Genomic DNA, 22864 nt, shown 5'->3' on the forward strand with positions numbered 1-22864 from the left:
TTGTGAAAAAATTTTAACTAGAAATTCAATTTCTCTAATAGACACAGGAACATTCCTAATTTCAAGGAATTTCTCCATTTCATCTATTTTGCTAAATATATTGGCATAAATTTGTTCATAATATTTTCTTATCATTCTTTTATTGTCTATGGAATAGTGATGTCATCTCCCTCATTCCTGACTTTAGCCTCAAAGGGAAGGAGAATACAAATATTTAAGGAACTGATTAAAACTTAAGAAACATGAAATAAAAGAGATGAGAAATAAGTCTTCCTGAAGGAATACTACCTGCCCCCCATACTGGGTCGGCATTCCTTATCGCACTTTTCTTAATTGTGTTTGTATAGTCTGGGATGACTAGCCATTTAATTCCTGTTTTGTTTCCATAGTGCCAGAACAGGGCACAGTACCTGGCATATAATAGGTGCCAAAAGTTATTCTTCTACTGTGTTACTGTGTTATGAATGAATTAGTGTAGTCACTTCCCAGATTCTGGAAGTTTTTCTACTATTAAGTTTTTATCCTGAAGGCAATTAAAATCCACTGAGGATTTTAAACAAGTACATGACATGATTAGATTTGAAATATTACGTGTATATTTAGAGAATGCAAGGGGGTAGACAAAAAAAGACTGGGGCTAGGGAGTCAGTGAAGAAGCTATTGGTTATTTAAGCAATATTCAGGGAGTAGAAATTTTAGAATGGGTTGGCCAATGACCATCAACAGTAGAGAATAGGGGTATTAGATCTAGGGATTGAGAGAAAAATACAGAACAGATTCTCAGAATTATGATTTGGAAGATTTGTTGGAGTGTGGTGCCATTAAGTAAATTTTAAAATAATGGTATAATAGAATGCTTTATATTTCAAAATGACAGGTGCCCAGTTTGCTACCTATATAAATTGGCTCTTTGATGATTTCATCCCTGCAATCATCCTCAGTGAGGTCACTATAACTTACTCAAAAAGGAGTTGAGAAAAGCATAATATACTTAGGTTTGTGATAATGTTTCATTATCAGGTATAGCACTGATTCAGCCAAATCACTACAATTGATTTATGTAAGTGAATTTTGCAAAAAGTGAAAAAGCCCTTTAAATATGAAATCTTTTGGTATTAATTTTTGTATAGAAATTGTGCTAAAATGCATCACATACTTCCCTAAAGTATTTTCAGATTTTGCCAGTCATTCTGAGAATAGATACAAGCATCCTCATTTATCCAATTAATAAATTGAGACTCAAAAAGGTTGACTGACATTTCTAGTGTCACCGTTTTGAACTGTCAGTCTGAAACCCAAGGGTTTTTATTCTAAATCTGGCTTCTTTCCCCCTTGCTAAACTACCTCTATGTATATTGTGATATTATCCAGTAATGTTCTCTTGAATATATGGAAATTAATTATAAAGACAAAAGAACAACCAAAAGTTAAAATATGACCTGAGAGGCTGAGGAGGCAAGAGGATTGCTTGGGACCAGGAGTTTAAGATTAGCCTAGGCAACAAAGCAAGACCCGTTTCTAAAATATAAAACAGAATTGGCTGGGTGTGGTGGCACACATCTGTATTCCCAGCTACTCCAGAGGCTGAGGTGGGAGGACTCCTTGAGCCCAGGAGTTTGAGACCAGCCTGGGCGATATAGCAAGACTCTCCATCAAAAAATGTTAAAATACGAATTCTGATAAACTCATGGCAAAGGTAATAACTTATTTCCCTGGGGCAGCATTTTTTCCCATAAGTTATTGGGGTACAGGTGGTATTTGGTTACATGAGTAAGTTTAGTGGTTTTTGGTGCACCCATCTCCCGAGCAGTATACACTGCACCATATTTGTAGTCTTCTATCCCTCGACCCCCTCCCACTCTTCCCCCCAAGTCCCCAAAGTCCATTGCATCATTCTTAAGGGCAGCATTTTTCAATGAGGAAGTAAAACATGGTGTTATGGAGAGAATATGAGCCTTAAAGTCAGGTAAACTTGGGTTTGAATTTGGGCCCTGCTACATACTGCCAGACACAGTGTGGTAATCAACAGGATTTCAACACATCAATTTTCTCATCTTTAGAATGAATCTGTTATCTAACTGATAGGATTGTTTTAAGTATTAATATCTTTTGATGCATAATTTCTAGCATGAAGCCTGGCACTGTTAAATGTTAGTTTTCCTTTCTTCCCCATAGTAGAGTTGATTTTAGGAGCAAGGATTTTAGCTTTTGTATATTACAGCCTTACTAAACTAGGTAACTGCCTGGTGGTATGAAGGACTTTACTAACCTTGGTAAAAATAAAAAATTACCATGCAGTTTGGAAGAACTAAGTACATAGACCAAAAACAAGAATCAGTGTTTTCCTGCTTCTACAAATCCACAGTTTGACTCTTGGCAGTCAGCCTCACCAAGGTTGCCCCACCTTAACAAGTGATGCCAAAAAAAAAAAGTTCCAAAAGGAGAACAAGACAACTCAGCATTCGGTACGTCCATTTTCCAGATTTATGTCAACAACTAGAGAATATCATTTGGTTTTCTTCTAGGATCAAAAAGCCATTAGCTTCTATGCAGTATGTGGTTTTTCACTCACTGCAGATCTTGTTTAAGCACATTCTCACTCTGAACTGATTAAGTGCTGCTTGATTTCTGGATGGCAGTTGCTTATAAGTTATAATATTTCTTAGTTATAATAGTTTCTTAGTTATTGTGCAGAATCCACAATGATGCTTACCTTGCATACAAGATGATGTTTTTATCTGCAGAAGTCATCTTTGACCACACTACCCACAGATCTAGAGTAAAAAGACACCACAAATGGCTGAAAGTGTCAACATAAATAACTATCAATAAATGTTAAGGAATGTGGCAAAGCATTTGGCTTCTTGTGTCTTCCCAACCTATCAGAGCTAACTATGGCTATTATTGTCAAAAGTGATGCTCCCGGTTTAGTTATATACAGTATTTATAAAGTGCCCATCACCATGGTATCTAAACACTTGGGCAGTCTAATTAGGCTAGTCAATTACTTGTGCAAAAGTAGAAGAGGTACCCTTCCTTATATCCCACTCCACTGGAACCAATTTGATTGTGTTTTTAAAAGCAAGAAAAGCCTTCTGTGAGAATAGCTTTTTAGGCCCCTTGTTCCAAGATGAAAAGACTGTCTGGGTAAAGAAATGACTGTTTCTTATTCCTTGAAGGTGATAATGTTCTGAATCAAGCAACTCTCCAGTGGTAGAAAACACCACAGCCCAGAGATCTTGATTGAGAACATTTTATTCCCTTTTCTTTTGAACTTCACTCTGGGGGCAGGTAACGGAAAAGTGCTTTCTAAAAGCAGTTCACCTGCATGTGAATTATTTCCAAAGCCTTCCTTGGTGAGAAAACTGTGTTCTCTCCTGGCCTCCTGAGTCAGAGAAAGAGTACTCCTCCTCTTCAGGACATTTAACTGGGTCAGACCTAAAGCAGAACTTGGTCACAAAGACCTCCCTTCTGACTTCTATTTTGGACAGACATGGACAAGGTTTCTAAGACAAAGTTTCTGGTGTGTGTGTGTGTGTGTGTGTGTGTGTGTGTGTGTGTGTAGGAGTGAGGACATGTTATCCATTAGTAAAATCACTAATAAACATTTTTAGAATTTATTGTTGATCAAATACTTTAAAAAAGCTATTTGTGGCCGAGCGTGGTGGCTCACGCCTGTAATCCCAGCACTTTGGGAGGCTGAGGTGGGCAGATCGTGAGGTCAGGAGATCGAGACCATCCTGGCTAACACGGTGAAACCCCCTCTCTACTAAAAATCCAAAAAAATTAGCCGGGCGTTGCGGCTGGCGCTTGTAGTCCCAGCTACTCCGGAGGCTGAGGCAGGAGAATAGCGTGAACCCTGGAGGCGGAGCTTGCAGTGAGCCGAGATCGCGCCACTGCACTCCAGCCTGGGCAACAGAGTGAGGCTCCGCATCTTAAAAACAAAACAAAACAAAAACTGTTTCTGTACAAATGAAATACTATGTTTATGTGTTTCTGAGGCAAACTGAATACCACGCTTATTCAGAAAAATAGTATGTCGCTGATGTACACTTCAGGCTAAAGAACAGTTGTCTTTTTGTACTAGCAAGATTTCTTCCTGGAATTTATTATGAATTCAATTTGATATGAATCTAATTTACATGATATCTTATTTCATAATGTTTTTCATAGCTATGCAAAAATCAAGTCAACATGGCCTGTAATGTTTCAAAGTATAATTTAAAAGTTCAGAGAACTAGCATTTTACCTTGAAAATGAGTAAACTATTGTTTTGTTCTCTAGTCATTCCACCTATGTCTATCATATCGCTTATTGCTTAATTCAGATTTTAAACAGTCTTATTTTCCTGTCATTTCTTCATGTCACAGTCTCTCCCCTCCTGATTTGATTTGTTGATTTGTCATTGATTTGTTCCTATTGTGGCCTTGGGACATAATTTCGAGACTTTGTTCAGTTCAAATTATTTCAGTACCTCAGTCCTTCTGATTCTGTTCCTTCAGTTTGGTGTTCCTGTTTTGTATTCATTCCCTGTCATAACAGTTCTCTCCTATCTTTCAATATACATTTTTTGAAAACATCCCTATGCGGCCACATCAGTTCCTTCAGTAACTACTTTTCTTTCTCATCAGAATCATTTGAAATTGTAATTCCCAGAATTTCATCTTTTAGAGCACTGGATTCCTCTTGAGCCATCTTCCTGTACAGAAATTCTTACCAAGGGATCTTAATTTGTTCTCTGGCCATTAAAATGATGGTTGCAATTATTGAACATCTACTTCATGACAGGAATTTTATGTGCATTATCTTGTTTACTCTCTACCACTCTCTTATAAGCTAGGTTTATCTTCATCGTACCAATGTGAAGACTAGAGTTCATAGAAGACATGTATAGGCAGTAATGGACAGAGCAGGGTAGAACTTCGGGTGTATTTGTATCAAAAGCCTATACTCTTAACCATTATGTTCATATCTTGTATCTCAGAATTAAACTTTCCTAATTATTTTCTCCTGTAAACTACTGAGAGACTTCCAATTATTCTTATGTTGGTATCAAGTACTGTGTCAGTTGGATAGGGTTTAGCTGTAATTGACAGAAAATCAACTCAAAAGGGTTTAAGGAAAGAGGCAATTTTTTGGCTCATGGAACTAGATATCCAGAGGTAGGGTAAATTACAGGGTTTGTTCATATGGGGATTCAAAGATGGAGATCACAGACTCAGGCCCATTTTTTTTTCTGCTCTGCCACCTGTAGAGCTGGCTTCATCCTAATGCTGATTGCAGCATTGTGGAGAATGCTCACCAGTAGCAACACAAACCATGTCCTTCCTCTGTCACTTCTGGTAAGAGATAGAGGAGGGCATTTTTCAGGAATCTCAAACAAACACTTCCTTTCACTTAATTGATTTGACTTCTATCACGTGCCCATTTCTTAATATAGCTAGGAAATTTCCATTTGAGTTAATCACAGCTTAATCTCGAATCAGGGACTGAGTTCGGCTAATGATGAGTCCTATAATAGATCACTGAACAATACCAGAATTCTCTTTAGAAAGAGAAGGAGAAGAATAGATGTAGGATAGACAGTCAACAGTATCTCCTGCCCAACTCACTGACTACCTATCAAGCACATGCACCCTTCTGTTCAACATTTACTTTCACAGCCCTCGTATCTACTTGAAACCACTCACTGCTCATGCAACCTCATACAGCTACTCTTCCATATATGTTCCAAATATAGCTGGCTTCAAAAATCAGAGGTGTGATGTGACTTTTCTATCTTAACAATAGCTATCCGCCACCAAAGCACTTAAAATTTGTAAGTAGGGAAAAAAGGGATAACAATAACTAAAATTTCTATTTGGTGGGGATCTAATATGCGGCATAGGGGGTGATGGACATGTTAATTACTTTACTTGTGGTAACTATTACACAGTGTATACATTTATCAAATTATCACATTGTGCAGCTTAAATATATTCATCTTTATTCATTAAATTTTTTTAAAAAAAATTCTATTTGGAAAAGTGAGGAGCTTATGGTAGTTTGTGTGATATTCTGACCAAGAAGAGTGTGTCTTTCATGCCCTGGCTGGGTAGTGATTTCCTGGGTCAGCCAGTCTGATAGCTCTTAGTTCTACTTTCTGAAAGATTCTTAGGTATCCATTGCTTTCCACAGTCACGGGTGAGAAAGGAGGACATTCTCTAGCAGTATCCCTTCCAAGCCACTACCGCCCTAGGGGCTAGTGGAGACATTAAGGAGTTGTCTGCCCTTCCTAGGCAGGCATGGGTTTATGTGGTAATACAGGCCCTTTTAAAAATTTAGAAGACTTCTGGTTTGTTTCTAGTCTATTTATCAGCTTTCATTAGTTCTAGAAGTCTTTTGTGGGAATTCTGGAAATACCCATGTCTTAGCAACTAGTTTCTGTGTTCTGCCCATTTCTCTGGCACTTGGTTTAGTCAATGCTTTTTATCTTGGAGTTTTTTTTTCCCCCAAGAGAATTTGAAGTAATAAGTGGGTGTTCATCTTAAGGAAACATGCTAGAAGTAGCCACCATGGGCCAACATCCTGAATTTTGAATTTTTCCTACCATTGTTCCTAATCTGTGGGTAGACACGTGGTCTGTGTTCCAAAATACAACAGATGTGAGTCTCAAATGTTTTGCTGCCATGTGACAAGAATAATTGCAAACTTCATAGACTAGGATGATGGGGTCCTTCATCCCTTCCATGCTAACTCTTCCACTCAAACTTACCTCTCTGTAAAACCTATTACTTAAAGTGTACCAATTTGATCTGTTTTTTTTAAATTGTATCAATACATTCCTCCTTCCTCCTCCACATTCTGTATAATTCTTCAACTGTTGAATGTCTTTCCTATTCTGTAATCCCAGAAATTTTAGGAGACAATGGGAATTCCAATTGCATTTGGGGAAAAGTTGTTTTTGCCGATACTGCTTTCAAGCAGATACCAACGTTCCATAGTTTTTGGCAGAATTTGGGAACCAACAAAGGGAAATGTACCCTAACAGATTAAAGCAGGGTTAGTGGTTTAACCTGTCTAAGAATCAAAGGGTTGGAAACAAGGAAGACTTTATTTTAAAATCGTAAGAATAAGAATGAACCCTAAAATGAACACTTTATGAATTATTAGGAGATCATTTCAGGAAATTACTCACTTAGCGACAGACCTGTGTAAAACTCAATGAACTGTACATGTGATGGATCTCCACTGGGGTCATCTTGATTTGAGTACCAGTATGATAAATTGAAAAGTAAGGGCTATGTGCTTAAAGAAAAGATTGGGCTTACCATACGTTTCCTTGAGATAAATCTTCTCCTAATTAATGACCTTTTACCTAGGAGTAGAAACAACAAAGAGAGTTTGTGATGGCCAGCAAATAACACAAGGCTGTGTCCTCATTGTATCTCATCCCACGTTCTATTAGTTTTCTATTGCTGTTGTAACAGATTACCACAAACTTAGCAACTTCTTACAGTTCTGTAGTTTAGAAGTCTGGCACTGGTCTCACTGGGTTAAAATCAGAGTGTTCTTAGAACTGTGTTTCTGTCTGAAGGCTCTAGGGAGAACCCATGTTCTTGCCTTTTCCAGTTTCTAGAGGCCTCCCACATTCCCTAAACTGGGAATAACCAGCTTCCTGCATCTTCAAAACCAGCAACGTTGCATCTCTCTGACATTCTTCCATTCTCATGTCTCTCACTGACCACAACAAGGATTTCTTTGCTTTTAAAGACCAATGTGATCAGATCAGGCCCACCCCAATAATCCAGGATAATCTCCTCACCTCAAAGTCCTTAACTTGATCACACTTGCAAAGTCCCCTTTGCCACGAAGATAGCATTTTCATAGGTTCCAGAGATTAGGATAGGGCCATCATCATTGAAGGTCTATTATTCTGCCTACCACGTTAAGTCGATATAACATTGCTTACATGATAAACACTTGAAATGTGACATTGTTTTTATATAGATTAATAAAACAAAGAATGTTCAATTAATGTCAATTATGAATAGAGGGAGAAGGAATAAATGAGAGAGACAAGGGTACAAAAAAAGTATGTCTTCTTAAGGAGTATGTGTTCTTATTAAGAAAATAAGATTTTAAATGATGACTCCTTGAAAATAAGTGCTCGGGAGGAGCCAAGATGGCCGAATAGGAACAGCTCCAGTCTACAGCTCCCAGTGTGAGCGACGCAGAAGACGGGTGATTTCTGCATTTCCATCTGAGGTACCGGGTTCATCTCACTAGGGAGTGCCAGACAGTGGGCACAGGTCAGTGGGTGCGCACACCGTGCGTGAGCCGAAGCAGGGTGAGGCATTGCCTCACTTGGGAAGCGCAAGGGGTCAGGGAGTTCCCTTTCCGAGTCAAAGGGGTGACGGACGCACCTGGAAAATCGGGTCACTCCCACCCGAATATTACGCTTTTCGGACCGGCTTAAAAAATGGCGCACCACGAGATTATATCCCGCACCTGGCTCGGAGGGTCCTACGCCCACAGAGTCTCGCTGATTGCTAGCACAGCAGTCTGAGACCAAACTGCAAGGCGGCAGCGAGGCTGGGGGAGGGGCGCCCGCCATTGCCCAGGCTTGCTTAGGTAAACATAGCAGCCGGGAAGCTCCAACTGGGTGGAGCCCACCACAGCTCAAGAAGGCCTGCCTGCCTCTGTAGGCTCCACCTCTGGGGGCAGGGCACAGACAAACAAAAAGCAGTAACCTCTGCAGACTTAAATATGCCTGTCTGACAGCTTTGAAGAGAGCAGTGGTTCTCCCAGCATGCAGCTGGAGATCTGAGAACGGGCAGACTGCCTCCTCAAGTGGGTCCCTGACCCCTGACCCCCGAGCAGCCTAACTGGGAGGCACCCCCCAGCAGGGGCACACTGACACCTCACACGGCAGGGTATTCCAACAGACCTGCAGCTGAGGGTCCTGTCTGTTAGAAGGAAAACTAACAAACAGAAAGGACATCCACACCAAAAACCCATCTGTACATCACCATCATCAAAGACCAAAAGTAGATAAAACCACAAAGATGGGGAAAAAACAGAAGAGAAAACTGGAAACTCTAAAACGCAGAGTGCCTCTCCTCCTCCAAAGGAACGCAGTTCCTCACCAGCAACGGAACAAAGCTGGATGGAGAATGACTTTGACGAGCCGAGAGAAGAAGGCTTCAGACGATCAAATTACTCTGAGCTACGGGAGGACATTCAAACCAAAGGCAAAGAAGTTGAAAACTTTGAAAAAAATTTAGAAGAATGTATAACTAGAATAACCAATACAGAGAAGTGCTTAAAGGAGCTGATGGAGCTGAAAACCAAGGCTCGAGAACTACGTGAAGAATGCAGAAGCCTCAGGAGCCGATGCGATCAACTGGAAGAAAGGGTATCAGCAATGGAAGATGAAATGAATGAAATGAAGCAAGAAGGGAAGTTTAGAGAAAAAAGAATAAAAAGAAATGAGCAAAGCCTCCAAGAAATATGGGACTATGTGAAAAGACCAACTCTACGTCTGATTGGCGTACCTGAAAGTGATGGGGAGAATGGAACCAAGTTGGAAAACACTCTGCAGGATATTATCCAGGAGAACTTCCCCAATCTAGCAAGGCAGGCCAACGTTCAGATTCAGGAAATACAGAGAACGCCACAAAGATACTCCTCGAGAAGAGCAACTCCAAGACACATAATTGTCAGATTCACCAAAGTTGAAATGAAGGAAAAAATGTTAAGGGCAGCCAGAGAGAAAGGTCGGGTTACCCTCAAAGGGAAGCCCATCAGACTAACAGCGGATCTCTCGGCAGAAACCCTACAAGCCAGAAGAGAGTGGGGGCCAATATTCAACATTCTTAAAGAAAAGAATTTTCAACCCAGAATTTCATACCCAGCCAAACTAAGCTTCATAAGGGAAGGAGAAATAAAATACTTTACAGACAAGCAAATGCTGAGAGATTTTGTCACCACCAGGCCTGCCCTAAAAGAGCTCCTGAAGGAAGCGCTAAACATGGAAAGGAACAACCGGTACCAGCCGCTGCAAAATCATGCCAAAATGTAAAGACCATCAAGACTAGGAAGAAACTGCATCAACTAATGAGCAAAATCACCAGCTAACATCATAATGACAGGATCAAATTCACACATAACAATATTAACTTTAAATGTAAATGGACTAAATTTTCCAATTAAAAGACACAGACTGGCAAATTGGATAAAGAGTCAAGACCCATCAGTGTGCTGTATTCAGGAAACCCATCTCATGTGCAGAGACACATATAGGCTCAAAATAAAAGGATGGAGGAAGATCTACCAAGCAAATGGAAAACAAAAAAAGGCAGGGGTTGCAATCCTAGTCTCTGATAAAACAGACTTTAAACCAACAAAGATCAAAAGGGACAAAGAAGGCCATTACATAATGGTAAAGGGATCAATTCAACAAGAAGAACTAACCTAAATATATATGCACCCAATACAGGAGCACCCAGATTCATAAAGCAAGTCCTGAGTGACCTACAAAGAGATTTAGACTCCCACACATTAATAATGGGAGACTTTAACACCCCACTGTCAACATTAGACAGATCAACGAGACAGAAAGTCAACAAGGATACCCAGGAATTGAACTCAGCTCTGCACCAAGCGGACCTAATAGACATCTACAGAACTCTCCACCCCAAATCAACAGAATATACATTTTTTTCAGCACCACACCACACCACACCTATTCCAAAATTGACCACAGAGTTGGAAGTAAAGCTCTCCTCAGCAAACGTAAAAGAACAGAGATTACAACAAACTATCTCTCAGACCACAGTGCAATCAAACTAGAACTCAGGATTAGGAATCTCACTCAAAACCGCTCAACTACATGGAAACTGAACAACCTGCTCCTGAATGACTACTGGATACATAACGAAATGAAGGCAGAAATAAAGATGTTCTTTGAAACCAACGAGAACAAAGACACAACATACCAGAATCTCTGGGACACATTCAAAGCAGTGTGTAGAGGGAAATTTATAGCACTAAATGCCCACAAGAGAAAGCAGTAAAGATCCAAAATTGGCACCCTAACATCACAATTAAAAGAACTAGAAAAGCAAGAGCAAACACATTCAAAAGCTAGCAGAAGGCAAGAAATAACTAAAATCAGAGCAGAACTGAAGGAAATAGAGACACAAAAAACCCTTCAAAAAATTAATGAATCCAGGAGCTGGTTTTTTGAAAGGATCAACAAAATTGATAGACCACTAGCAAGACTAATAAAGAAAAAAAGAGAGAAGAATCAAATAGACACAATAAAAATGATAAAGGGGATATCACCACCGATCCCACAGAAATACAAACTACCATCAGAGAATACTACAAACACCTCTACTCAAATAAACCAGAAAATCTAGAAGAAATGGATAAATTCCTCGACACATACACCATCCCAAGACTAAACCAGGAAGAAGTTGAATCTCTGAATAGACCAATAACAGGAGCTGAAATTGTGGCAATAATCAATAGTTTACCAACCAAAAAGAGTCCAGGACCAGATGGATTCACAGCCGAATTCTATCAGAGGTACAAGGAGGAACTGGTACCATTCCTTCTGAAACTATTCCAATCAATAGAAAAAGAGAGAATCCTCCCTAACTCATTTTATGAGGCCAGCATCATTCTGATACCAAAGCCTGGCAGAGACACAACCAAAAAAGAGAATTTTAGACCAATATCCTTGATGAACATTGATGCAAAAATCCTCAATAAAATACTGGCAAAACGAATCCAGCAGCACATCATAAAGCTTATCCACCATGATCAAGTGGGCTTCATCCCTGGGATGCAAGGCTGGTTCAATATACGCAAATCAATAAATGTAATCCAGCATATAAACAGAGCCAAAGACAAAAACCACATGATTATCTCAATAGATGCAGAAAAAGCCTTTGACAAAATTCAACAACCCTTCATGCTAAAAACTCTCAATAAATTAGGTATTGATGGGACATATTTCAAAATAATAAGAGCTATCTATGACAAACCCACAGCCAATATCATACTGAATGGGCAAAAACTGGAAGCATTCCCTTTGAAAACTGGCACAAGACAGGGATGCCCTCTCTCACCACTCCTATTCAACATAGTGTTGGAAGTTCTGGCCAGGGCAATTAGGCAGGAGAAGGAAATAAAGGGTATTCAATTAGGAAAAGAGGAAGTCAAATTGTCCCTGTTTGCAGACGACATGATTGTATATCTAGAAAACCCCATTGTCTCAGCCCAAAATCTCCTTAAGCTGATAAGCAACTTCAGCAAAGTCTCAGGATACAAAATCAATGTACAAAAATCACAGGCATTCTTATACACCAATAACAGACAAACAGAAAGCCAAATCATGAGTGAACTCCCATTCACAATTGCTTCAAAGAGAATAAAATACCTAGGAATCCAACTTACAAGGGATGTGAAGGACCTCTTCAAGGAGAACTACAAACCACTGCTCAAGGAAATAAAAGAGGATACAAACAAATGGAAGAACATTCCATGCTCATGGGTAGGAAGAATCAATATCGTGAAAATGGCCATACTGCCCAAGGTAATTTACAGATTCAATGCCAACCCCATCAAGCTACCAATGACTTTCTTCACAGAATTGGAAAAAACTACTTTAAAGTTCATATGGAACCAAAAAAGAGCCCACATCCCCAAGGCAATCCTAAGCCAAAAGAACAAAGCTGGAGGCATCACACTACCTGACTTCAAACTATACTACAAGACTACAGTAACCAAAACAGCATGGTACTGGTACCAAAACAGAGATATAGATCAATGGAACAGAACAGAGCCCTCAGAAATAATGCCGCATGTCTACAACTATCTGATCTTTGACAAACCTGAGAAAAACAAGCAATGGGGAAAGGATTCCCTATTTAATAAATGGTGCTGGGATAACTGGCTAGCCATATGTACAAAGCTGAAACTGTATCGCTTCCTTACACCTTATACAAAAATCAATTCAAGATGGATTAAAGCCTTAAACCTTAGACCTAAAACCATAAAAACCCTAGAAGAAAACCTAGGCATTACCATTCAGGACATAGGCATGGGCAAGGACTTCATGTCCAAAACACCAAAAGCAATGGCAACAAAAGACAAAATTGACAAATGGGATCTAATTAAACTAAAGAGCTTCTGCACAGCAAAAGAAACTACCATCAGAGTGAACAGGCAACCTACAACATGGGAGAAAATTTTTGCAACCTACTCATCTGACAAAGGGCTAATATCCAGAATCTACAATGAACTCAAACAAATTTACAAGAAAAAAACAAACAACCCCATCAGAAAGTGGGCTAAGGACATGAACAGAGACTTCTCAAAAGAAGACATTTATGCAGCCAAAAAACACATGAAAAAATGCTCATCATCACTGGCCATCAGAGAAATGCAAATCTAAACCGCAATGAGATACCATCTCACACCAGTTAGAATGGCAATCATTAAAAAGTCAGGAAACAACAGGTGCTGGAGAGGATGTGGAGAAATAGGAACACTTTTACACTGTTGGTGGGACTGTAAACTAGTTCAACCATTGTGGAAGTCAGTGTGGCGATTCCTCAGGGATCTAGAACTAGAAATACCATTTGACCCAGCCATCCCATTACTGGGTATATACCCAAAGGACTATGAATCATGCTGCTATAAAGACACATGCACACGTATGTTTATTGTGGCATTATTCACAATAGCAAAGACTTGGAACCAACCCAAATGTCCAACAATGATAGACTGGATTAAGAAAATGTGGCACATATACACCATGGAATACTATGCAGCCATAAAAAATGATGAGTTCATGTGGTTTGTAGGGACATGGATGAAATTGGAAATCATCATTCTCAGTAAACTATCTCAAGAACAAAAAACCAAACACCGCATATTCTCACTCATAGGTGGGAATTGAACAATGAGATCACATGGACACAGGAAGGGGAATATCACACTCTGGGGACTGTGGTGGGGTCGGGGGAGGGGGGAGAGATAGCATTGGGAGATATACCTAATGCTAGATGACGAGTTAGTGGGTGCAGCGCACCAGCATGGCACATGTATACACATGTAACTAACCTGAACAATGTGCACATGTACCCTAAAACTTAAAGTATAATTTAAAAAAAATTAAAAAAAAAAAAAAAAAAAAAGAAAAGAAGTGCTCAAGGGAAGTTTGTTAATTTAATCTTTGGGAAAATGCAATTTATCATAATTTGTGATAACTTATTATAAAATTTCAGAAAAAAAAATACACTGATGGCAGGGCACGGTGGCTCCCACCTGTAATCCCAGCACTTCAGGAAGCCAAGGTGGATTGCTTGAGCTCAGGAGTTTGAAACCAGCCTAGGCAACGTGGTGAAACTCTCTCTACCAAAAATACAAAAATTAGCCAGGCTTGGTGGCATGTGCCTGTTGTGCCATCTACTCAGGAAGCTGAGATGGAAGGATCACCTGAACCCAGGAAGTTGAGGCTGCAGCGAGCTATGTTTGCACCACTGCACTCCAGCCTGGGTGACAGAGCAAGACCCTGTCTCAAAAAATACATATATAAAAATATATTTTTTAAAAATACATATTTTTAAAAAGAGAAACATTTAAAAAAAAAAGTTGAAGGAGAAAGGGTTGAAGCATGTTTTGTAGATTTAGTAATTTTAGAATGGGAACTAGGTAACACTGTTCGCAAATCTGAAATGAAGTCTAAGTTTCAAATCTCATAGGATAGAAAGTACTGTGTAGATATTCAGATTTATCTGGATCTTGACAATATGTTGATGTAACACTCCCATCACTTCCTAAAGGGTTACCTTACTGCCTTGATTCTATTTTCTTTTTTTTTTTTTCTTTTTTGATCATTGCATTGTTTTCAGCATACAGAGCAAAGTTAGGCGGCAGCTTTCAGCTCTGAATGGCTAATGAATTGTTCATCTGTGTGTAGAATCTCCCTGGTGCAAGCTCTGTGTGAGTCTCTATTCCTCCCTATTCAAAGATGACATCGTCAATTGTGGTGATCCTACCCATGTATGCAGATCCAGCTGAAAATACAAATGAGAGACTAGCATTCCTTTCTAAAACCCATGCTTTAAACTATGTCCTTTGTTTGCAGGTGCAATTAGCTAGTTTGACAAGCCTGTTATCTGACTCTTCTTTTTTATACAGCCTACATGACCATCTCAGTCTAAATAAGTCACCCCATTTCTTTTTCTGCAGTTCATCTGTCAGTTATTTTCTTGTCTTAGAGAAGCCTGAAGTTCTGATATACTTGTGGTTCAAATCACTCTTATTGCAATCCTTTGATGAGTAATTTCAGCTTTCCATCTGAAGCTAAATACATAGACAATTCCAATGAAACTCTTCAAGAATTCTCCATAAAATCAAGGATCTAGGCCACAAAATTATTCTGATTTATACCACAAAATTTGGTTCCAATAATATTTCCCAAAGAGGAAGGATGGGAGAAAAATTAAATTCATTTAGAGGTAAAATATAATTTAAAAGAAATAGTCTTCTCTCTATAAAAGAATCAGAATTTTAATTGTTTTTTAACATTGGAATTGGTAACCAGGTTGAAAGTCTAAACTATCAGGCCTCAGACCCCTGAGCTTAAACCTTAAAACCTTAATTATAGCTAACATTGATTGAGCATTTATGGACCAGGTGCTAATCTAAGCACACTAAAAGTATCCACTTAAACTTCACAGCAACCCTAGGAGATAGATAGTATAATTGTCTCTATTTTTCAGATAAGAAAATTTCAGGTATAGAAAACTTATTTACCTTATTCAGCTGCCCAGTAGAAAGGCTTGTGTTCAAACTTCACCTGTGTAATGTCAAAGCCAGCTTCCTTACCCACTGTACTATATTACCTCTCCCATGTCTCCTATTTTGAGGCATAGTTGGACATGAATCACTTACCTATACCAAGATGGAACCCAGTGAGGAAAGCACAAACTTAGATCTAATGCCTAGAACAGTGCCTAGAGTACAGCAGATTGAATGAATTAATGAATGAACAAACTAAACCTCCCATGTTATGGCTCAGACCTTTGAAGGACAGCCACAAGTATAGGTACCATGTGGAAATTTTAAAAGGTAATGATAGCAACAGCCATGGTTTGTTGAACTACATTTCCTAGTTCACAGATGACACCTTCTAGCTGTGTCCCCACAATGCTGGAAGGGGCAAGGCAGCTCTCTGGGGCCTCTTTCATAAAGGCACTAATCCCATTACCTAATTAGGTTTCAACATACGAATTTTGAGGAAACACAAACATTCAGATCCTAGAAAATATATTTTATAATCCAGCAAAACACTTGCCTCAGGGTATTCTGCTAGTCTGGGAAAATGAGAGTTCTCAGACCTGAAGGACAGGGAGATGGCCACAGGGCTCCAGTATGGAGGGAGCCAGGATATATCTGATCTGAGAACACCAAAATGGAGGCAAAAGGGCACCAAGTGGAAGTCCAGTGTATCATGCTGAAGTTAAGTTTAGGCTGACACAAGCAACAAGGGTAGCATCCTGTTCAAGCTGTGTGTGCAAGGCATGTAGACTAGAGTTTCTTAAATGCCCATTAGTGCTTAAGGTAAAGGCAGACTTCAGACACCAGGGAGGAATTGAGCCCCAGTGTGGCAGTCCATGAATTACCATGGAATAGACAGAAGAGGCTTGAAAACTCTAAGAATCAGACCCCATACAGAAAAGCTCTTGCTGCTTCTCAACATCCTCTGAGCAAACCCACTTCTGCTCCCAACCACATTTCAGCCACCTTTATTTATATCTTCTACTTTTATTCCCCTCATAATGAGAAGACCTCACCTGTTTCTCTGTATTTCTAGTGCTACTGTATTTTTTCCTGGTGTCAACGTATTTTCTGTGTAAAACATGTATCTTATATTGGAGGTTGAGCCAGGCCAGATGACAAAATCTGGGTTTGAAGATCAGCGAGACTGATGACTCAGACTTTTGCCCAGCAAAAAGGCAGTGCAAAGGATGCGGAAGATCAGGGATCTACCTAAGTGCACTCTGCCCACCCGTGCCAATTCTTCACAGCAGCATACCCCATGTTCCAGAGTGTTCGCAGCCTGACAGAGTAAGGGACCCGATAGGTCACTGGAGACCAGAAGCCTCTGTTGGCATCCTGCTCTTTGTTCAGCCAGTGGTGGTGAACACATCACCATTCAAACCCACCCTACCACCTTAGACCAAATTTCTTTTTGTACCCCAGTAACATCTACCCAAGTCCTCATTGTCTCTTATTCCATCATCAGGTCCACTGCAGGCAACAGAACATGCCCTGGCCTGTTAAATTTACAGGAAAACTGTGTTTTATATGTAAAACTATTTCTAAGTATATATTTTAAGGAAAATAATTGCTTTGCATATTGTGGGCTTCCAAACATGAACACTTTATCTCTGTTTAATCAGCAGGTGAATTGATGCACTGAACTGAGGCTAAACAGCAGGCCAAGGACAAAGAAAGCTATTGGCAGAAATTACTGAAAAAGTACTCTCAGGAATACTCATTTGTTCTTCTGGCTTTCATTACACTACACCTCCTTTCTATAGTTATATTTTCTTTAAGAAAATCTGCTAATGGCATACCATCTGAGAAAATCATGTGTCAGAAAGCTAAATAACATAGTCTATGTAACTAGTTGAACAACAATTGAACATTAGTATGAACAAGGTTCATGCAATATAATGCAATGAAGACACAGCTTTCGGTTTTCTTTTGAAGGGGTCCTTTTGCAAAATTATTATTTTGATTTGGTGGTTCAAAAGTTAGGCTTTTTTAATTAGTTTTTTTTTTATATCGCTGGGGGATTTGCTTCTAGGTATGCATGTATAGTACTCTGAGTATTTCTACTTGAGTGGCTGCCTGGAAGAGTAGCTCCTTAGAATCTGTCATGAGCAATGGCTCTTTTTGACACATCAGAGGAGTTAGCTAAAGTGCATCATTCTTGATTTAGGAGATAATTTTGCCTTTGGTGAGAAAAGTGAAGGATTATTGATTTGACTAAAGAACTTCATCTTTATGGACATCTTAGATGAGATTATTTTAGATATTGTTTTATCTTTGCAAAATTTTAGTGTGATTAAGCAAATAACACACTTATAGGTGTCCAATTAAACAAATAGTGGCAAAAAAAGTCATTGCATTTACTTCAGGAATGATCTTTAGTTGGGTCATTATTATTGAACATGAAAAATGACCTACAGCTGTACTGTACCTTCAGTTCGTTTTGCTGGAGGTACTTTCATGAAATCCAGTTACCCATCATTTATCCCTATCTATCTCTGTATAATCTTTAAAGATGTCATTATGCAGCATATTCAACTGTCTCCTAACACATTATTTGTAAAGTTTTTGATTGTCTTTATGTATTCCTTTAAATATAATGTAGCATATCCATATAGGTAGCTTCATAACAGTTGCTTAATGTGAATTCCAGCCTGCACTATCCTCTTATAAGCTGAAGATAAGAGAATTGTCATTCTTGATCTATTCAGGTTCCATAATAGGAACTTTACAGAAGGTTTTATGTATAAAACAGACAAATAGTGTGTACTTGGTGCTATGAAATGCCCATTGTTAATAAATTTTAGAAACATATCAGTAATTATAACTTAGGTCCTGTCATGCCTGCTTTAATAAAAAGAATATTTTACCTACATAAAGGTAGATGAATTACATTATTTGGAACAAATTGGTAGATTTTCACTTCAAGAGAGGTATAAAATATAGAGAGAGTCATTAAGGTCTGGTAAAAGTAAAGCACTGAGATATAGTATTAGGCAGACTTATCTGAGGTGGGCTTCAGTGTAAACTGAGGTTCTCAGATATGAAAAAAAATCTAAGTGGAACATAAAAACACACATAAATGACAGACAAAAACCCATAAAGTGGCTCATTGTTAGAATACAAAGAACTATCACAATTCATGGATGTAAAGAGCCCAACTATGAGACAAATGCCCATAAACGCATAATAGAAAACTCAAATGATGTTAACTAATGGATGTCACTACAGATATTTTGTGATACATTTTATCACATAATATCTGTGATAAATTTTGATTCCAAAATTTAGCAAAACCGCACTCGAGTTAAACTGGTTCAATTTAATAAAAAGTGGCAGAAACTAAACTCAGGTCCACTGATACATGTAAAATGGAAGTCTGGCCCAAAAAGACAGTCCAGTATGAGACTGGGCCTTCCTCCACTTGCCTTGGAACCTTGTCACACTCTAGTTTGAGAATAAGTTAAATAAAATGAATTTCCACATTATTTGCTTTGCCGATGGTAGAGATATCCAAAGACAATGGTAAAGCACATAATTTAGAGTTGATTGAAACTATAGTTTGAATAAGCAAGCAAATCAAGAAGTTACTGAGACACAACAATTTTGCATTCCTGTACTTTCAAGAATTACTGAAAAGTTGAGTTAAAAAAATATGTCAGAAAGGAAGTATTTACTTCTCTCCATAATAGAGTGTCTGCTAATAAACTTTCCCTCCTATTCTAAAGAGCTATGAAATTGGACACAATATAAGAGGCATTAAGAATTATACAGAAAAATTAAGAAAAGGGAACCACACAATACGAGCCCCATGATTGTGCCAGCTTTCCACCTGGGCACACTTGATGCTACAGCATGGGGAAGATTCAATATTGGTAATAAATTAAAAAAAAGAAAACCTTGATTCTTACTTTACAACATATACAGCGTTTGAGATTACTTAAAGGTAATATTCAATTCTATATAGCATCTAGAAAACAAACAGAGTGTAGACTACCTTTGAGACCTAAGAAGTACGCAGAGACACAGAAAGCACGTTTATGGGCATAACACAATCTTTTTTTTAGACGGAGTCTCACTCTGTCACCCAGGCTAGAGTGCAGTAGCATGAGCTCGGCTCACTGCAACCTCCGCCTCCTGGGTTCAAGCAATTCTCCTTCCTCAGCCTACCAAGTAGCTGGGATTACAGGAGTGTGCCACCACGCCCAGCCAATTTTTATATTTTTAGTAGAGACAGGGTTTCATCATGTTGGCCAGGCTGGTCTCGAACCCCTGACCTCCAGTGATATACCTGCCTTGGCATCCCAAAGTGCTGGGATTACAGGTGTGAGCCACCACACCCGGCCTACCACAATCTTAATGTAAAAATATAAATTGGATTTTACAAAGTCACCATTAAAAAAAATGAAAAGGCAAGCCTTAAGTTGGGAGAAAATGTTCATAGCACAAATATCTGATAAAGGCCTTATATTGTGTGTGTGTGTGTGTGTGTGTGTGTGTGTGTGTGTATATATATATATATATATATATATAAACAACTCCTGCAAATTCATAAGACAAAGTCAAACAACCCTATACAAATGGGGAAAAGAATAATAGTCCTTCAGAAAGAAGATACACAAATGATCGATGAACACATGAAAAGTTTCTTGATATTAAAAGTCACCAGTGGATAAAAATTAAAATCCCAATGGGATATGAGTTTATACCCACCAAAAAGGCTAAAATTAAAAAGACTATTAATGTGAAATATTGGTGAAAATAATGAGCAACTGGAACTCTTGTACATTGCTGATGAGAGTATAAAATGGTACAATCATTTTAGAAAAGCATTTGTAAGTGTCTTAAAAATTGAACATGCTCCTAATCCATGACCCCAAAATCCTTCTCCTAATTGTATACTCAAGAGCAATGAAAACATTTGTCAACCAAAATGACTTGTACCAGAATCCACAAGCTTTTTTCCTCATAGCCAAAAACTGAAAAATGACTCATAAGCTCATCAAAAGGGAGATTTGTCAACAAATTACACAGAGCACTCAAAAATAAGGAACTGCCTCTATTGACTACAATATGGATGAATCGTTAAAATTTTTTCTTGAGCTAAAGAATCCAGACACAAAAGAGTATATACCTACATTATTCCGTTTATAAAACATTCAAGAATAAGTGAAATTAATCTATGACTAAAATCAGAACAATAGTTGCATATGAGGGAGATGGAGATTGACTGGAAAGATGTATGCAGGAAATTTCAGGGTGAGAAAAATGTCCTGTAACTCGACTACTGTTGGTTATGTGAGGGCCTACATTTATCAAAACTTACAGGCATACCTCAGAGAGATTGTGGGGTCAATTTCAGACTACCCCAATAAAGTGAATATTGCAACAAAGTGAGTCATACGAATTTTTTGGTTTCCCAGTGCATATAAGAGGTACGTTTATACTATACTGTAGTCCATTAAGTATGCAATAGCGTTATGTTTACGAAAACAATGTACAGGCCTTGATTTTAAAATGCGTTAGTGCTAAAAATGCTAATGGTTATCTGAGACTTCAGTGAGTCATAATCTTTTCGCTGGTGGAGGGTCTTGCCTCCATGTTAATGGTCGCTGACTGATCAGGGTGGGGGGTTGCTGAAGGTTGGGGTAATTGTGACAATTACTTAAAATAAGACAACAAATAGATTTGCCACATCATGGGCCCTTCCTTTCACAAAAAATTGCTCTAGCGTGCAGTGCCGCTTGATAGCATTTTACCCACAGTAGAACTGCTTTCAAAATGGGAGTCAATCCTCTCAAACTCTGCCACTGCTTTATCAACCAAGTGTATGTAATATTCTAAATCATTTGTTGTTATTTCCACAGTTTTCACAGTATCTTCACCAGGGGAGATTCCATCTCAAGAAACCACTTTCTTTCTCAACCATTAAAGTTTTGTCATGAGATTTGAGCAAATTAGTCATTTATCTTCAGGCTCTACTTCTAGTTTTAGTTCTCTTGCTAGTTCCACCACATCTACAGTCACTTCCTCCACTGAAGTCTTAACTCCTCAAAGTCATCCATGAGAATTGGAATCAACCTCTTCCAAGCTCCTGTTAATGTTGCTATTTTGCCCTTCTGCCTATGAATCATGAATGTTCTTAATGGCATCTAGGATGGTAAATCCTTTCAATAAGGCTTTCAATTTACTTCGCCCACATTCATCAGAGGGCTCATTCTCTATGGCAGCCATAGCCTTATAAAATGTATTTCTTAAATAATCAGACTTGAAAGTGAAAATTACTCCTTGATCCATGGGCTGCAGAATGTATATTGTGTTAGCAGGCATGAAAGCAACATTGGTCTCCTTGTACACCTCCATTAGAGCGGTAATACATTGACAGTGATCTGCTTCTCTGAGCAGTAGGACTCAACAGAGGGCTTCAACATTCTGTAAACCATGCTACGAACAGATATGCTGTCATCCAGGCTTTGTTGTTGAATTTATGGAACACAGGCAGATTAGATTTAACATAATTTGGAAGGGCCCTAGGATTTTTGGAATGGTAAATGAGCACTGGCTTCAACTTAAAGTCACCAGCTGCATTAACCCCTAACAAAGAGAGCCAGCCTGTCCTTTGAAGCTGTGAAGCTAGGCATTGACTTCTCTTGTCTAGCTATGAGAGTTCTCAATAGTATCTTCTAACATAACACGTTTCATCTCCATTTAAAATTTATTGTTTAGTGTAACCACCATCATCAAGTATGTTAGCTAGGTCTTCTGGATAACTTGCTGCATCTTCTACATCAGCACTTGCTGCTTCACCTTCCACTTTTACATTGTAGAGACAGCTTTCTTTTTAAAACCTCATGAAGCAACCTCTGCTAGCTTCAAACTTTTCTTCTGCAACTTTCTCACCTCTCTCAGCATTCATTGCAATTGAAGAGAGTTAGGGTCCTGCTATGGATTATGCTTTGGCTTAAGGGAATGTTGTGGCTGCTTTGATCTTCTATCGAGCCCACTCAAATTTTCTTCATATCAT

The 22864-nt window shown here is 38.8% G+C and overlaps 1 protein-coding gene and 1 long non-coding RNA gene across 14 annotated transcripts in view, besides 1 other annotated feature; one reads left to right on the forward strand and one right to left on the reverse strand.

Annotated features, from left to right (window-relative positions):
• ARHGAP15 (Rho GTPase activating protein 15) overlaps window positions 1-22864 on the forward strand; it is a 638934-nt gene that overhangs the window by 523993 nt on the left and 92077 nt on the right. The gene's annotated exons all lie outside the window — the stretch shown is intronic.
• ARHGAP15-AS1 (ARHGAP15 antisense RNA 1) overlaps window positions 1-22864 on the reverse strand; it is a 135343-nt gene that overhangs the window by 12656 nt on the left and 99823 nt on the right. For 4 of the 5 annotated variants that reach the window (XR_007087251.1, XR_007087252.1, XR_007087250.1 and 1 more), the window contains 2 exons: window positions 7311-7357; window positions 2714-2774 (listed from right to left, as the gene is read on the reverse strand). This is a non-coding gene — a long non-coding RNA (ARHGAP15 antisense RNA 1). Of the gene's footprint in view, window positions 1-2713; window positions 2775-7310; window positions 7358-7804; window positions 8186-22864 lie in introns of those variants that run through there. The other variant, XR_923393.3, reaches the window with a different exon arrangement.
• Window positions 8444-8979: an enhancer, noted in NCBI's record as "H3K27ac-H3K4me1 hESC enhancer chr2:144419424-144419959 (GRCh37/hg19 assembly coordinates)". NCBI's record gives its function as "activates a minimal SCP1, AML or CMV promoter by ChIP-STARR-seq in primed H9 embryonic stem cells {active_cell/tissue: H9 hESC(primed)}" and the evidence as "EXISTENCE:reporter gene assay evidence [ECO:0000049][PMID:30033119]".

Source organism: Homo sapiens, chromosome 2 (genome assembly GCF_000001405.40).
Source record: "Homo sapiens chromosome 2, GRCh38.p14 Primary Assembly".
Classification (NCBI taxonomy): Eukaryota; Metazoa; Chordata; class Mammalia; order Primates; family Hominidae; genus Homo; species Homo sapiens.